General features: G+C 47.7%; 1 protein-coding gene across 4 annotated transcripts in view, besides 1 other annotated feature; it reads right to left on the bottom strand.

The window, feature by feature from the left end:
• The window catches only part of TTLL11 (tubulin tyrosine ligase like 11), a 277,635-nt gene that overhangs the window by 7,455 nt on the left and 251,816 nt on the right, over positions 1 to 18,364 (bottom strand). The window lies entirely within an intron of this gene.
• Positions 4,122 to 4,893: an enhancer, noted in NCBI's record as "H3K4me1 hESC enhancer chr9:124589529-124590300 (GRCh37/hg19 assembly coordinates)". NCBI's record gives its function as "activates a minimal SCP1, AML or CMV promoter by ChIP-STARR-seq in primed H9 embryonic stem cells {active_cell/tissue: H9 hESC(primed)}" and the evidence as "EXISTENCE:reporter gene assay evidence [ECO:0000049][PMID:30033119]".

The raw sequence follows: 18,364 nt of genomic DNA on the forward strand, positions 1-18,364 counted from the left end.
AACCCTATTTTGCAGATGAGGAAGTTGAGTCTCAGAGACACGGAGAGAGCTGGGGAAAGTTATATAAGATTTAAACCTAGCTCAAAGCCTTGTAAAATGTCCACAATGAAATGCCCCCATTAAAACCCAGCTCCTGGCTGGGCGCAGTGGCTCATGCCTATAATCCCAGCACTTTGGGAGGCCGAGGTGCGTGGATCACTTGAGGTCAGTAGTTCGAGACCAGCCTGGCCAACATGGAGAAACCTCATCTCTACTAAAAGTACAAAAATTAACTGGGCGTGGTGGCATATGCCTGTAATCCCAGCTACTCAGGAGGCTAAGGCAGGAGAATTATTTGAACCTGGGAGGCAGAGGTTGCAGTGAGCTGAGATCGTGTCACTGTACTCCAGCCTGGGTGACAGAGTAAGACTCCATCTCAGAAAACAAAAACAAAAAAACCCAGCTTCTTAACTTTTATAATCAGGGAACAAGGTTATGAAGATATGAAGATAAACCCGGTTTGACGGCAAAGTTCTATCTGATAACAGAGATGCTGGTTACATGGGTGTGTGCGTTTGTCAAAACTCAAGTTGTGCCTTAAGGCTCATGCATTTTGCTGTCTGTAAATTTTACCCCCCAAAGTAAAATAAACCCAACTGTCATTTCTCTGGCCCAAACCATATTCTGGAAAGAATAAATAGTCATCCCTACGACACCCCTGGAATGCTCTTCCCTGGTTTTGTCTTATAAGCGTCTACTTATCTTTGGGACCTGAGCTCAAAATCACTGACTCAGTAAAACCTTCCCTGATCCCCAGATTAGACCCGGCCCCGGTACAGGATTCCTGCACTTCTCTTTGCAGCACCGGCTGCGACTTGCTCTGTGTCTATCTGTCTGTGTGGTCTCCATCCTCCTCTCTGGACTGTGCGCTTCCCGTGCTGCCCAGAGGTGCTCAGTATAGATGAATGAGTGAATGAATGAATGGGTGCATTGACGCTAGGTACTTTACCAACAGTGCCACTAATTCTCACAATACCTTTATGAGGTAAATATTATTATGCCCCATCTTACAGATTAAGAAACTGATGGCAGGGTGCGGTGGCTCACACCTGTAATCCTAGCACTTTGGGAGGCCGAGGTGGGCGGATCACGAGGTCAGGAGATGGAGACCATCCTGGCCAATGTGGTGAAACCTTGTCTCTACTAAAAATACCAAAACTAGCTGGGTGTGGTGGTGCATGCCTGTAATCCTAGCTACTCAGGAGGCTGAGGCAGGGGGAAACGCTTGAACCAGGAAGTCAGAGGTTGCAGTGAGCCAAGATCACGCCACTGCACTCCAGCCTGGCGACAGACAGAGCGAGACTCCATCTCAAAAAAAAAAAAAAAAGAAAAGAAAAAAAGAAACTGATAGAGAGGTTAAGTAACCTCCCTAAGGCCACACAGCCAGGGAAGAGTGGCCTGGAAATTCAAACTGACTCCCATGTTTTTTAACTAAGTTGTTAAAAACTTAGTTAAAAGTTTCAACTGCCTGAAAGGGTCTGAGTCTTCCCAATGTCCAAGTAAAACTGGAACCCGGGGATCTAAACCTATAGGAGTCCCTGGGCTCTTCGGGAAAGGTGACAGTAAGGTTGGACTGAACACCACGTGGCATTTTAGATTAGGCTGGTGTCAACTCTGAAATCCACACCTTCCTGGTGACTGTGCATTATTTACCTGCTTCTGGCACTGGGGGCAGCAGCCTGGCCTAGGGTTTGTAGATTACAGGTTACATACAGACCCTGGGATCCCAGAGCTATTTTTGCCTTGGGAACTTGAGCTGGGCAAAGAAGTTGTGTTTTGCCTCCCTTATAGTCCATCAGAGCTCTTGGCCTTGGGTTCTTTTGACTGCAGACATCCTACAAGGGCGCTGCTCTGTTTGATCCTGATATGAGGAGTTGATAAAATGGGTTTTACACCAGGGTTACTTTTAATGTAAACAGCGGCCTGGGATGGTCAAAGACACAGGGGAGTAGGAGCCTTGGTCTGACTCAAGAGACAGATGTTTCCTAATCACCAGCTCTGGGCCAGGCCTCTCATAGGGTGGGCGTGTGCCCGTGCAAGTATGTGCATCTGTGTGTGTGTGTGAGATGGTCGGGTGGGAGGGTCAGATACACACAGAGTGAGAAGATTAGGATCTAAGGCCCGAGGAACCCAGTCCCAGTCCCCTACTTCCCAACGGTGTGATCTAAACAGCGCCACTCAAAGTGTGGCTGGCTGACAGTGCCAAGCCCATGAACTGTGTGTCCCTGGTCCCTGACAAGATAAGGCGCTTGGGCCAGAATGTTAATCATGGTCCTCATCAATCACATTGTTTAGTGCTGTTGACAGTATTTAGTATAATAGCACGTCTTCCTCTATAAAGGAAGCAGCGTGCTGTCTACATTCTGGCTCAGGCGTCTTGTCCAGGACTGTGACAATCTGTGGGTTGCAACTTTGAGTAACTCTGCTCTGCAAAGCCCTTCCCAGCTGTAATGCACACTCCAATCACCAGCTTGTTCAAATGCGAATCCTGGGGTGGGGCCCAAGGCACTGAATTTCTAGCAAGCTTCCTGGTGGTGCTGATGCCACACTTTGAATGGCAAGGATCTAGCCACTCACTGCACCTCTTTACTCAACAAATGTCAGTTTCGTTCCCTTAGTTGATGGTAGAATGTGATTAGAGCTATATGCATAGAAAACATACAATGAGGGCCAATTTGGAAAAAAAAAAAAAGCACAGCAACATCATCTAGAAGACATTCTAAAACGAGAAGTGGGATCTCACTGTGCTGCCTTGGCTTTCTTTCTGCTTGTCTGCATTTTGTGATTTTCTACAGTAAACATGGATGCAATTTAAACATCTGCAGTGGGAAATTCTGGTGTGTGGAAAGAGATGATGGAGGGGGAGATGCTTTTAATTATGAACCCCTTACTACTATTTGAATTGGAAGTCAGGCACATGTATTACTTTGAAAAAAAATACAATGCAAACTTTTTGCACATATATTCTACTTTTTATCAAAGTAGAATATATATATATATATATATAACCAGTAACCTATATATATATATATATATATATATATATATATGCACACATATATATATACACGCACATATATATGGGTTATATATATGGGTAAAACCCATATATATATGAGTGTGTGGGTGTATATATATATATGGGTTTATATATATATATGGGTTTATATATATGGGTTATATATATGGTAAAACCCATATATATATGAGTGTGTGGGTGTATATATATATGGGTTTATATATATGGGTTATATATATGGGTTTTACATATATATGGGTAAAACCATATATATATGTGTGTATATATATATATGTATATATATATATGTGTGTGTATATATATATATGTATATATATATATGTGTGTGTGTATATATATATATGTGTGTGTATATATATATATATATATATATATGTATATGGTTTTATACCAGGGTTACTTTTGGCAGGGCTGGGATTTGAACCCAATCCTCATGCACTGCTGCTTCTGCACCTTATTCCCAGAAACCCTCTGGAGCATCCGTGCCAAGGGTGCCTGAGGATGGAAACGGTAGAACCTGCAGGAAACACTGAACCCAGCACCTTGAAGGATCTAGGGGTTGGGGGCATCGGTGGAGGCTTTTGGCAAAGTGGGCATGACAGTGGGGCCTTGCAGAATGAGGAGGGCTTGGATGGGCAGAGATGTGCTGGGGGTGGTCGACTGGGCTGAGAGCAGGGACCTGTGGGGCAGGGAGGCAGGGTGGATGGCCCAGGGGCCTGCCACAGGACAGGCTGGGGAAGAGGCCAAAGGGACTAAACCCAGAGAGCACCGGTGGTCACTGTGGGGCTGGGGTCAATGTCAGATGAAGCCATTGGGAGCCCCTGCAGGTGCTGGGCAAGGCCCGCGTGATCCGAGTCCCATGGGTTTGGACCCATAACAGTCTGATCACATTTTCTAGTCTGATGATTTCTAACCATTTTTTTTTATAGTGATAGAAACTGTGAGGGTTTTCTTTTTCTTCTCTTGTTTTATTTCTTAAGTGAAATCTTCCGAGGGAGTCCAGTATGCCAGACAGGTAAAGGGACCCTTCTCCCCTCTCTGTTTAGGTCAGGTGAATGGTGGCTTACAGGCCTGCCACACAGCCCCTCACCCCTCGGGGCCCTTGGATCTTCACAAGCAGCACAATCACCGTCACCCTGAGGCCCTTGAACCCTTGTTTAGCATTTGCATTTTGCCGAAGGGTGGGGACGGGAAGTACCTGAGGCCCCCAAGTCACACTCAGCAACTGACAGGAACAGGGCTCGACCCCAGCTCTGGGACTGGAGCCCAGGGTACCCTCAAACCACATCTCCCCCTCCAAAAAGAAACTGAACGCAAAATCAAACCAATCACTTCTCTGGCCATGGGCTGTCTCCACTGACAGACGGTCCTATTGAATGCGTGCCAGTGAGTGTGGGGGGACGCGGGGATGCCCCAAACTGCACGCCATGAGCATATGGGCCTCTGGTCCCACAATGGCCCATTCTAATAGCCCTTTGAGTTTGACTAGATATTGGCTTTAATCCTCAATTCATCAAGGTGGCGCAGGAAACGGTGGTCAGACCCAGGCCAATATTCACTGAGCTTCAGAGAACGTAACCTTTTGAAGGTTTCAAGGGGGTGGGGATTGGGCGGGGAGGAGGAGTCAGCGCACTCAGATGATTCAAGTTACGCTGCAGGAGCAGGGCTGCTGGGGTTCCCCCTGAGAGTCAAGCTCAGGCTCTGGACTGTCCCCTCTGGCTGCAGTTTCCAGCCTTTTCCAGAGCCTCCACAATGGTTGACGTTCTGCCAGGCAGAACTGGGGCTTTCGCCTTCCTTATTTTTTATTTATTATAACAACATATAATGAGAGTCTTAGCAGAAAGTGCCATAGAGCCCATGCATGGCCTTCCCTCCAGCACTTACATGTTCTTGCGGAATGACCTTCCACCCTTACTCTTTGTCCACAGGAAGATGTATTGTCACTTAGTGATAACACACATTGAACTTTTTTTTTTTTTTTTTGAGATGGAGTTTCGCTCTGTTTCCCAGGCTAGAGGACAGTGGTGAGATCTCGGCTCATTGCAACCTCCACCTCCCAGGTTCAAGCGATTCTCCTGCCTCAGCCTCCTGAGTAGCTGGGATTACAGGCATGCACCACTATACCTGGCTAATTTTTTGTATTTTTAGTAGAGATGGGGGTTTCGCCTTCTTGGCCAGGCTGGTCTTAAACTCCTGACCTCAACTGATCCGCCCACCTTGGCCTCCCAAAGTGCTGGTATTACAGGCATGAGCCACCATGGCTGGCCACACGGAACTTCATTTTGCTTAAAATTATATCATTAACATTTTTGTATGTTGCTATGCAGCCTTTATAACCATTATTTTAATGGTTGCATAACTGTCCATCAAATTTTTGCCTTCTATGCCATTTCACCACCCCGTCCCTGTTGAACACAAAGACTATTTACATTTGCTCACTATTGTTGAGAATATTATAATCAACACTTGGTATTTCATTGTTTTTATTTATGATTCATTTATTCCCTTACAATAAAACCCTTGGGACCTGGGTGGTTGTTTTTGTTTTTAATAAATGTAAGGTTAGTTTAGTAATTGACTTCATGTTAAAAATACCTAAAACCTTACAGAGGCTGGGTGAGATGGCTTAACCCTGTAATCCCAGCACATTGGGAGGCTGAGGCAGGAGGATCGCTTGAGCCCAGGAATTTGAGGCTGAAGTGAGCTATGATCACACCACAGCACTCCCGCCTGGGCAACAGACAAGACCCTGTATTTTTTTTTTTTTTGAAACGGAGTCTCGCTCTGTCACCCAGGCTGGAGTGCAGTGGCATGATCTTGGCTCAACCTCTGCCTCTTGGGTTCAAGCAATTCTCCTGACTCAGCCTCCCTAGTAGCTGGGATTACAGGTGCCCATCACCATGCCCAGCTAATTTTTTTGTATTTTAGTAGAGATGGGGTTTCACCACCTTGGCCAGGCTGGTCTCAAACTCCTGACCTAAAGCAATCCACCCACCTCAGCCTCCCAAAGTGCTGGGATTACAAGCGTGAGCCACCGTGCCCAGCCAAGACCCTGTCTTCAAAAAAATTTTTAAAAAGAAAATCTCATAGAGTACCCAAATGGACAAAGCACATGAATGGGCAATTCACATATATCGGCAAATAAAAGAGAAGACATCCGGCCCCATCCAAGCCACAGGGGCTATTGCTCACCAAGTAAACTAACAAAAGTATTAAATACTGATAATGAGAGGTAGTGGTGAAATGGCTATAGACTTTTGAAAAGCAATTTGGCGAAAGTTTTAAGAGCCATTCAAAGGTTTATTAGGGAGGTAAGGAGGAAAAAACAAAAAATAAATGTGTTTATATCATTGAACACAGTGATCACAATCCTAGGAATTTTCCCTAAGAAAATATTCCTTCCAAAGGAAAACAATGTATACAATGGTATTCATTGCAAACTTATTTATAGTACCACGGGGCATGGGGGAAGGCAGTGCTAGACTTATAGGGTATTTTAATATCTTCATTCTTTTCTGAATTTTCCAAATAAGATAATGCATGCTCGTTGTTGATAATAATTCAAGTACACACACACACACACACACACACACACACACACACACACCACACACACACACAATTTTAAAAATACCCCCAACCTAGCCTCTGAGGTCACTGGTTCTGGGAATCTGTCCTTGACCATCCCCAGGTGGAGTTAATCACCCTTCATGGTGCTTCTTCTTGTTTCTTATCATATACTAGGATAAATCCATGGGTACATGGCTGTCTCTCTAATGAGACTCTGCTCCTACAGGTGGGGACCATGTCCCTGTCTTCTCTACATTCCCAGAGCCCAGCATAGCCTGGCACACAGTGAGCACCAATAAAGATGCATTTAATCCACTGAATAGAATGTGAACCTTGTAACAGTCGTGTGATGCAGGTGTTATTATGCCCACTTTGTAGCTGAGGACACTGAGGTAAGCCAAGGGGCAAAGAGAAAAGAGACCCATGGAAACCCTTCTCTTAGAAGATTTGCAGACTTATGAAACCGCAATGATCCAGACCAGAGGCTCTCGAACTTTCGAAACTCCCAGAGGGCTTGTTAAAATACAGATGGAGGGTCCAGCCCCACAGTTTCTGATTCAGAGGGCTGAGGTGGGGCTGGGAGTTTGCATCTCTCACAAGATCCCAGGTGATGCTGAATCCCGCTCCTTCCCCTCCCTGCTCCCCACTGCACAGTCCAGTCTGTATAAACTTCACTTGGAATGCCCATCTGCAAAGCGGGGCTTATTTGCAAAAGGACCTGCCCCCAAACTGAGAGAAGCTTGACTTTGGGCTAAAAATGTCTACATTTTAAAGACACTCTGATTGAGAGCAAACCCAACCAGTTATTTTTAAAAGACTAATGATGGAGCTGAAAAGCCATGGAATGGTTCCAACTGCACATTAAGTCCTTTCTGAGAAACCGCACAGCCCCAGATTCTTCCAGCATCACTGCTTGCCCACTAAGTAGGAGAGAACATTCTCCATGCCATCTCCTAGGCCCTGCCCTTCCCTGTCTGGGCTATGATAGAGGAGACCTGGAAGGTTCCAGAAGGCCAGGCCACAGGGGGCTCTGTAGACCATGGCAGGACTTTGGATTTCAAAATAAAGAAGATGGGAGGTCACTGGGGAGTCCTGAAGTGACATGTCACTGTGGAAGCTATGTTGAAACCCAGTGGTAGGGGCACATGTGAGAACAAAGAGATCCATTCAGGGGTTACTGCACCAGTCCAAGTGAGAGCTGACATGGTGGCTTGGACCAGTATGATACTGGTGGAGGTGGTGAGGGATGATTAGATACTGGATATGGTCCGAGGGTAGTGCCAGTGGCATCTGAGGTTTGCCCATGGTTGGATGTGGGTGTGAAGGCAAGCCAGCAATCTTATGCAGGAGGGCCTCTGACACCTCAGGCCGAGGAAACTGGCCTTCCCCTCAAGGTCAATGGTTTTCAAACATTTTACACATAAAATAATCTGGGGACCTTGCCAGAAATGCAGGTTCCTGTTCCCTCACCCTGGGGATTCTGTCTGTTGGCGATGAGGCCCCAGAAACTGCATTTGTAACAGCAGCGTTGGGGCTTCTGCCCCAGTGAGTGATCAGGAAATGGAATGAACATGCCAACTTGGCCATCTCTTGAAGGGCTCTATCGGAGTCAGTGGAGTGAAGAAGTTAAGAGAATGGTCTGGCTGGGCCCAGTGGCTCACACCTGTAATCCCAGCACTTTGGGAGGCCGAGGTGGGTGGATCATGAGGTCAGGCATTCGAGACCAGCCTGGCCAACATAGTGAAACCCCGTCTCTACTAAATATACAAAAAATTAGCCAGACATGGTGGCAGGTGCCTGTAATGCCAGCTACCTGGGAGGCTGAGCCAGGAGAATCACTTGAACCTGGGAGGTGGAGGTTGCAGTGAGCCGAGATTGTGCCACTTTACTCCAGCCTGGGCAAGAGAGAGAGACTCTGTCTCAAAAAAAAAAAAAAAAGAATGGTTTTTGAGAAACCTGGTACTGGGCTGGCTCTGCTGTGGGTGATCAAGAGCCTTTGGGGACACAGAACAAGCTTTATCCTCTGAAATCCCACTGTTCACTCTCTGCTCCTGGTCTTAGTCTTCTCGGGCTGCAAAATACCATAGCCTGGGTGGCTTAAACAACAGAAATTTACTTTCACAGTCCTGGAGGCTGAAAGTCTGAGATTGGGGTGCCAGCACGGTCATGTTCTGGTAAGGGCTCTCTTCCTGGTTTGCAGACGGCCGCCTTCTTGCCATGTCCTCACATGGCAGAGAGGCAGATTGGGCTCTCTGGTGTCTCTTCTTATCAGGATGCTAATCCTATTCAATAAGGGACCCACCCTTATGACCTCATTTAACCTTAATTATTCCTTAGAGGCTCCATCTCCAAATACAGCCACATGGAGGATAGTTAGGATTTCAACATATAAATTTGGTGGGAGACACAATTTGGTTCATAGCACCCTCAAACCCTCAGTTCTGCTGAGGTGCACCTAGCTCTTGGGGACACTCTCCTACTACTACTCAAGTCTCTGAATTTACCTGAGCCATTTAGAAAAAAATATAAGCAATCCTACACTTCTTCCCTGCCCCTTCGCCAGCACTCAGAAAACCCCTCACAGCTTGGATTGGGAGTTGAAAGGATCTCTTTGGTAACATTGCCTTAAAAGTAAAAGTAATGAAAGTAAACAGTAATCATTCATATTTATTTAGCCCTCATTATGTAGAAGGCCCTGGATTGTGGGGTGCCTTCACATTATTTAATTTAATCAGACAAAAACCTTAGGAAGCGGGTATTGACAATCCATTTTACATTCAAGAAACTTGCCACAATCGCATGGCTGGTAGGTGGCAGACCCCAACCACCATGCTCTTAAGTCCCTTACTCCACTGCTGCTTCGAGAGTTTTCGAAGATTTGGCCAGGTGCAGTGGCTCATGCCTGTAATCCCAGCACTTTGAGAGGCCAAAGTGGGTGGATCACCTGAAGTCAGGAGTTCGAGACCAGCCTGACCAACACGGTGAAACCCTGTCTCTACTAAAAATACAAAAATTAACTAGGCATGGTGGCACGCACCTGAAGTCCCAGCTACTCAGGAAGCTTAGTCAGGAGAATCACTTTAACCCAGGAGGCGGATGTTTCAGTGAGCTGAGATTGCATCAGTGCACTCCAGCCTGGGCAACAGAGTGAGATTCCATCTCAAACAAAACAAAAAACAGACAAACAAACAAAAACTGGGGGGGAGTTTTCAAAGATTTGACCAAGTGTTAATTACAGTCATTTAGAACAAAACAATACCGGCCTTGCAGCGAATGAGGGATGGAGCCTCATCTATCTCTGCTGGATGTCAACAAGAAGGTGCAGTTAGATTCGCTGGTCTTTGCAAACAGGCTTTCCCTACCTGCCCTGTATGCCACAAGATAAGCTGTTGAGTATTTTTCTAAACTTCATTTGGGTTGACAGATGTTGCTAGAGAAGGCAGCCTTCGAAACATTCCAGTTGCAGCCAGCCGCACGTCTCTCACCTGAGACCGCCTCTTGGATATTAAGAGGCGGCCCCTGACAAACGATGGCCTCATTCTGTCAATAGGCTGGGTGAGGATGGCCCACCAGCTCCTTCTAGGCCAAAGCCCCCTGCTCTCCACTCCCGGGAAGGCATCGTTGCACTCAGGGCTTTATGAAAACACTGGGAGCTGCTCACCAATAATCTCATCATCTCTTCACCAGCTTAAGGATGGGAACAAGAATCCTATCTTACGTCTGCATAGCACTTTCCAGTTTACAAAGAACATCCATTTTTCTCATCTACTTCTCAGGGTAATGGTGGGAAGAGGACATGTTTACGCGTATTCTTCATTTACAGTTGAGGAACACAGGCCCAGAGAGGCTAAGTGGCTTGTCAAGGTCATCGTCTAGGTGGGCGAGGCAGCATTTACATGCGTAGCTGACTTTCAAGCCCACACTCTTTTTTCTACATTACGCTTTCTTAACATCTGACATTTATGTATTATTTTACAGTTTACAGAGCACATTTGAATATATGATATAATTAAATCCAAATCATTGTCGACAGCCAGGGATATTATTCCAGACTGAATATGAGATATTTTCTTCCTCTTAAAAATACCTGAGCTTCCTTGCTAGTAATTCTGTTTCCTGGGATTGGGGTGCTTAAACAGAAACTTGCCAAGCCCTTCTCTCTCCCCAGTCTTTAAATCTCCTTCTTATTACTCACCTAGAAGAGATGTTTCTGTCTTATCGTACAATTCTAAATGTATAAGTATACAAGTTTGCTGTTTGGAATCATTGGTAGGAAATAAAGCTGAATGATCTTGACTAGAATTAGCTTAGTGCTTCCTATCTGTGTAGTGAAATGGCCCCCAGAAGAGCTATCTGTGAAGGCTGCACAAACTCCAAGGCGGTTCATCACAGGAATCTCAGCCTTCTCTCCATTCTTAGGGCATCTTGCAGCCCAGCTCCCTGTCTGCTGCTGCACGGTTCCCCTAGACTTGACCACAATCTCTCTAGGCCTGGGGCTGGGGTCTCGAAGGACTCTACACATGGTAGATCAAACCTGGGCATCTCCCAGGGAGAAGGCATTCAGCTCCATGAATAGGGACAGGGACTCAGATGAGCTGGTCCGGGTCCCAGCTCTCCCACTTACTGCCTGTCAAGGCATTTTACTTTTCTGGGTCTCAGTATCTGCATCTGTAAAGTGGGGATAGTAATAGCTGCCCTGAGTGGCTTTTTTTTTTTTCACAAGGTACCACACAGAAAAAGCAACACAGTGCTTAAAAAATGGCAGCACAGGCCAGGCGCGGTGGCTCACGCCTGTAATCCCAGCACTTTGGGAGGCCAAAGCAGGTAGATCACAAGGTCAGAAGTTCGAGACCAGTCTGGCCAACATGGTGAAACTCCGTCTCTACTAAAAATACAAAAATTAGCCGGGCATGGTGGCACACACCTGTAATCCTAGCTACTCAGGAGGCTGAGGCAGGAGAATTGCTTGAACCCAGGATAGGGAGGTTGCAGTGAGTTGAGATTGTGCCACTGCACTCCAGCCTGGGCGACAGAGTGAGACTCTGTCTCAGGAAAAAAAAAAAAAAATAGTGGCACAAGTGCTTCCCATCATCTTCCCACTTGGAAGTCTGCTCTCTCACCTCACTGGCCTGGAGCGCTATCACAATAGTGGTTTCATTTTCTCCTACTGAAGTTGGCCAATTTCTTTTCACCCTGCTGGACTGAGTTTCATGAGGCCAGGAATCTGAGTTAAGGGGCCTGGGATCTCCATGGTCTCTACCCCTGTGCACTGTGTGGCTTTGAACTGGTCACTTTCCCTCAGAGGGCCTCACTTGCTTCCCCTCTGTAAAGTGAGGGGCTGGACGGAGTGATCTCCGAGGATTCCACAAGTATTGGAAGTGATGTAGACTTCTGAATATTTTAAGAAGTGGAATGTCCATGTTTACTGAGGACATTCTGCCCACCAGGATTCCCACTCGGCATTACCATGTCCTACTGCCACCCTAAGAGACTGGGCTGCCAATACTCACATTGTTAGAGAAAGTGCTGAGCTCAGGGAGACCCAAGCACCTGCCCAAGGTCACACTCCACCTGCCCAAGGTCACACTACTGGAGAGTGGTAAGTGGTGGTGCTGCTCCCTACCAGTTCTCCCCCAACCCAGATGGAAATCTCAAGGAAAAAAGCCTTGCTTCTGCCACCACCCACCCCACCAGCTCAGGAACAGAAGTTGCACATGTGCAGTCATTGTATTAAGCATTACGGCAACAAGAAGTCACTATCACCTTTGTCCTTGGCCGGATGGAGAAATTAATTAAGTGTCACGACTGGACCATAAATAGAACTTGCAGAAAAATCATTACCCCCAGAAGCCAGCAGCACCAAAATAACAAACATAATCAAAGGTGAAAGCAACTCTTCTATCATTTCATTAATCACAGGTCATACTGCTGGCCACAGCAGAGTGGCCCAGAGGTCTCAGTCCAGTCCCATCCAACGTCACCCCTGATTCCATCATGACACGAACACAAGTTCCTGAGTCACCATCTGGGAAGACAGGGCCACAGTTCTAGTCACTGCTTCCTGCAACTGCTTCATGCTGTTGTGGACATTTCTCGAGAGATTAATGGCTCCTATAGAACCTTTGGAGGCTCAGGACTCATTCCTCAGCAAGTGGTCAAAATCTCTGGCTTAAAAAGGACTTCAGAGATAACACAATCTAGGCCCTTGCAGGGTAACAACAACACCCAGAATGACAAGAGGGATTACTAAGAGTGGTCTGTATACAACACGTGCTTAATATGTGTCAGGCACTGTGGTGAGTACTTTATGGGCACCTTTTGTTTAATCCTCAGAACAAAATCTGGATGGTAGATGCTTTTATGGCCCCTGATTGTCTGTGGTTGTTTGCCTTTGTTTAGTGATATGGCAAAGCTTTGCATTTGTCTTGGGCTCTGTGTGTTAGTTGGGTGTGGGCAGACCTAGCCATTCACTCAGAGTCCTCCAGGCTGGGGCTGGTAGTGGGGATAAAAAACCAGGGCAGATAAAGCATGATTTCTGGTCCTGTCGCTGTGGCTTTCTGTAGTTGCCCTGTGAGATTCTGAAGGGCATGGGTTGCCCTTCCTGACATTGCTAACAACAGCCATCCAGCCCCCCAACTTGGTTGCTTCCAGTGATGGGGAGCTCACCACTGCCCCAGGAGGTCCCTTCTCACTGCCATGTGCTCTCTGCTCTCTGCCTGGGAGCTGAAATGTGCAAAACCTCCCCCGACACCCCAGTTTAACACAGAGTAAATCAACCTCTTCTTCCATCACCACAGCCTTTCTCTACGAGGATCTGAGGATTCAGAAGGCAGTAACCATGACCACTCAGTTCTGCCAGCCCTGGCTGACTCCTCAATGTGCAGATTCACAGATGGGCAAGCCTCCTCTGATGCAGGGCAGGGAGAAGCAGGGAGAGGGTAGGATGACCCAACGTGAGATGGGGGTGTTAGAACACAAAGGAAGAAGCAAGTCATTGCCTGGAAGAGGCAGGATAGGTTACAGGGTGCCTGTGGTGCACATGGTGAGAAAATTCAGACAGAGGCAATGCACAGGTAGTGGAAAGTGAAGGTCCTGTTTCCCTCCTCTGCCTTGCGACCTCCAATTCCTGTGAGCTGGAAGTGAATGCTGTTTGCAATTTCTGGCATATACGCATAAAAATGAAATATGTGCACTGCTGTGTGCATCAATATCTGTATCCATATAATTTTGCACACAAATAGGATCACCTTATAGCTACCGTACTGCACTTACACAATTTTAACCATGCCTTGACGCTTCTCCGTGTCAGCATATATAGATCTACCCTGTTGTTTATAGACTGTATAGAATTCCATAGTATAGATGTACCATGAGTTTCTAAAATCCTTCCCCTACTAATGGACACTTAGGATGCTTTTCTCCTGTTTTCTTCTTTTTTTGATATTGTGAATAATGGTGCAATGAACATCTTTGTGTATATATCAGTACATACTTGAATGAGCAATCATCTCTTTCCAGTGGAACTTATGGGTCAAGTATTATTTTTACTAGTATGTTTTGATAGCTCTTGCCAAATTAACTTGGGGTTGGGATCTTCAAGGATCAGCACTGAGGAGGAAGATCTTTCTGAGGAGAGGAACTAGTAGTACAAAATCTTGGTGCTTTGAAAGGGCTTTTTCAGGGTGTTAGGGAACAGAGCTGGTGCTGTGGGCGGTCTGGCAGGTGGGCCTGGAGCGGGTGGGGGTGAGGGATGAGGGGAGGAAAGGGAGTTTGTCTACAGTCGGTCCTGATTAATGCTCCCAGCTTGTCAGTTTCTCCCCTGCTCCTGAATGCCACCATCTGCCATCAACCAGCCCTGGGATCTTGTGTGGTTGAAAAGCCTGCCTTCCTGTCACTATCCTCTCTCTCTCTGTTCCCTTCTCAGCCAGACTGCCCTTCCCTCCTGGGGTGGCACTGCCTCCACAGCCTCCCTTCCAGCTCAAGAGAGGATGTCCACTCCCTGTCTCTCCTCCCAAAGGGCTCACGCCAAACGCCTGGGTACCTTCCACTCCCATGTCAGCTCTGAGCTCCTCTTGGCTCTCTCCCCACAGCATGTGACCACGTGGAAGCCTCCCTCCTGGAGACACGGTCTTCCCACGTCTGTTTCATCTCGCTCTCCTGCTTCTTGCTCTCTCTCTCTTGCTGGCTTCTGTCTGCTTTTCCTTGCTGTGGGCCCCACAGGGCTCTCTCTCTCGCTCTCTCTTCCTGTCATTCATTCCCCAGGTTGAAATACCTTCAATGAATCCATGCCCTCCAAATCATTGTCTCCAGGCCAGCCTGCTTTTTTGCCACTGGGATATCGCATTAGCCTGTTAAAAATGAATCTCTTGGTCTTCCCTTCCCAATTCTGTTTTTCCTTGAGTCTCGCCCATTTTAATAAATGGTCTCTCCACCCACCTAGTTGTTCAAGCCAGAAGCCTGAGGTCATTTTTGAGACTTCTCTTACCTCCTCTCAACACCTCCACATCCCTAGGACCATAAACCTCTGCTCTCCTGCCCTCCCCCACCTGAGCAGCTGTCGTCCCTTGAAGCCCCCACAGCCTCCTCGCTGGTCTCCCTGTTTCCACTATTGCCCCTTTCAATACAGCATCCAGAATGACCTTTTAGAAACACAAATCAGGGCTGGGCATAGTGGCTCATGCCTGTAATCCCAGCACTTTGGGAGGCCGAGGTGGGCGGATCACCTGAGGTCAGAAGCTCAAGACCAGCCTGGCCAACATGGTGAAACCCTGTCTCTACCAAAAATACAAAAATTAGCAGGGCGTTGTGGCATGTGCCTGTAGTCCCAGCTACTCAGGAGGCTGAAGCACAAGAATCGCTTGAACCCAGGAGGCGGAGGTTGCAGTGAGCTGAGATTGTGCCACTGCACTCCAGACTGGGTGACAGAGTAAGATTCTGTCAAGAAAGAAAGAAAAGAAAGAAAGAAAGAGAGAAAGAAAGAGAGAAAGCAAGCAAGCAAGCAAGAAAGCAAGCAAGCAAGCAAGCAAGCAAGCAAGCAAGCAAGCAAGCAAAGATAGATCAAACCACGCACTCCCCCACTTTAAACTCTTCAACAACAACATTTCTTGCCCTGCCCACCTTTCTTGCCCTGCTCTGAGGGATCGAGCCCCGCCTCTCCAGCTGCCGCTGTAACCCACGCCCCTGCTCCCGTCACCCTGCGGGCCTTCATTTCGCAGAACCTGCTCCCCGCATTCCCACCTTGGGGCCGGTCCCTGGCCTCTGCTCAGAACACCCTGAGTCCCACCTGGCGAAGCTTCCATCTCAGCATTACCTTCACTGACACATCTCTTTGATCCACCTCTTAATATAAATGAGGTCCTCTCTGTCCTCCTCATTAAAACTTATTTCACAGAACGCATCACAACGTCTAATTACATGCAATTTCTGCGTTTCCATGTTTAATGTCTGCCTCGGCCACCGGATGTCAGCAGTGCTAGGGCTTGGGTGTTCTGTTCATCCCTGCACGTCCCCATCACCCCCAGTGCCTGGCGTGTAGGGGCGGCTCATTGAACATTAGGTGATCCACTTAGGGTAGAAAAAATCCAGGCTTGATATCAGACATGCCTAAGTTCAAATCCAGGGTTGGCCTCTTACACATTGCGGGGTGATCTTCGCTTACTCACTGCCCAGCTGGGAGCCTCAGTTTCTTTCTACCCTGCCCGGCTCTGGGGGGCTCAGTGATAGAAAACAGACATAAGGGGCTGGGCCTGTGTCTGGCACATGGAAGACACACTGGAAACATGGCCTTCTTTCTTGATTGTCTTTAAGTCATGAGAGGGGCCAAGCCTGGCAGAATAAAGAGTATTCTCATGGAGGGCTGCGGCTCAGAATTCCCATTCTATCCAAAGATGGGCAAATTGGAAGACGGGCAAATTGGCCCTAACTCAGCCACCAACAGCAACCCTCTTCCCCATCCCCCCGACTGTCCAGCAGTTAACTGGCGGGGCCTTCTAGAATCTCCAGAAGACCTCAGCCTCAGCCTTCTCAGCCTTGGGCAGGGCAGAGCAGTGCCCACTCACCAAGTGGACTGAGCCCTATCCTCAAGGTGAGACCCCTCTGAGGAGCTCTTCAAAGCTGGCCTGCCATTTGGAGCGGTGACAGGAGGCAGATCAGTGTCAAAAATAAGACAGAGCAGTGGGTTTCAACTTGACTCACATTAAGAATGTCACGTTAGAGCACAAATGAGAGAGAAGAGAAATGCTCTTTTATGCGGGAGTTTATTTTTGTCACTTTGTCAGAGAGAAACTGCAGCCTGGAGGGCACTGGAGCTGCATCGAATCACCCAAAACATTAACATGCAAATTGCCTTCTTTACAGAAGGTAATTTTATTAGTGCACGAAAATGTTTCTTTCACTGTATTCATGCCTAGGAGCAGTGCTATCTGGGGGCCAGTTAGGGCAACCGCAAGAGAAGAATTAGGGACAGTCCTGAACTCGGTTAAGATCTATTACCTCCCCAACTTGGGACCACCACGTATCCTCGGATGCATGGAACACAGTGCGCTGCGATGTGACAGCTGGCTACCGATGGATGCACAGGCTGGAGGGGGCAAGTGACTTGTTCAAGATCATACAGCTTCTTTTTTCTTTTCTGAGACAGGGTCTCGCTTTGTCACTCAGGCTGGAGGGAGTATAGTGGCTTGATGTTGGCTCACTGCAACCTCTACCTACCAGGTTCAAGCGATTCTCCTGCCTCAGCCTTCCAGGTAGCTGGGATTATATGCAATTGCCACCATGCTTGGCTACTTTTTGTATTTTTAGTAGAGATGGGGTTTCACCATGTTGCCCAGGTTGGTCTTGAACTCCTGACCTTAAGTGATCTGCCTGCCTCAGCCTCCCAAAGTGCTGGGATTACAGGCATGAGCCACCATGCCCAGCTGATCATACAGTTTCAATGAGGAGGCAGAGTTGAGGCCACGTGGCCTGTGTCCAGACACCAGGTGACCAATAGGGAACCATGAGGTCCTGGAAGTTGTCACTCTGAGAGTAAGGAGCCTAGTGAGACCCCATCTACCTATTTGTTCACTCACTTGCTTGATTATTCAATAAGCTTTCCCTGTGCTAGGCCCTGGGCCCCAAACATGAATCAGGCACTGGCACGAGGCACTTGGCCTCCACTGGGAGCAGGTGGAAAGGGGATAAGACACCTACAAATACTTCTGATCCAGCGAGCTATGACGGCTGGGGAGGTGTGCCTGGAATCAACAGAGCAAGGAGAGAGCATGGCTGTTTGGCAGGGAGGGCAGGGAGAAGGGTCTGGAAGCTTCACAGACAACCGTCTCACCCATGGGCCTTGTGCAGGCAATCAAGGCAGGGAGGGATGTTACAGGAAGGAGACACCATGAGCAGAGGCCCCACGATGGAAGCACGTTGGCTGGCCCCAAGCAGCACAGGACGTGTGGGCGAAGAGTGTGGCGGGAATGGGGGCTGTGGTTGTGGAGGATGGAGATGAGGCTGGCAAGTCTAATCTCAAAGGCTAAAGAGCTCAGATGTACCTGTATCCTGCAGGTAGCAGGCAAACCCTCCAGCGCCCATTCAGAACAGAACCGTGCTCCCCATGAGATTTTGGAAGGGAGGGGCTTCTCCAGGCCCTGTGTTGCCAAAATGACAGAAGGTTCTCTGAGGCTGCGCTTATGTAAGGCTTCCTCCTCCCTTCGCAGATGTGATCAGTGGGGA

This window comes from Homo sapiens, chromosome 9, assembly GCF_000001405.40.
Source record: "Homo sapiens chromosome 9, GRCh38.p14 Primary Assembly".
Lineage (NCBI taxonomy): Eukaryota > Metazoa > Chordata > Mammalia > Primates > Hominidae > Homo > Homo sapiens.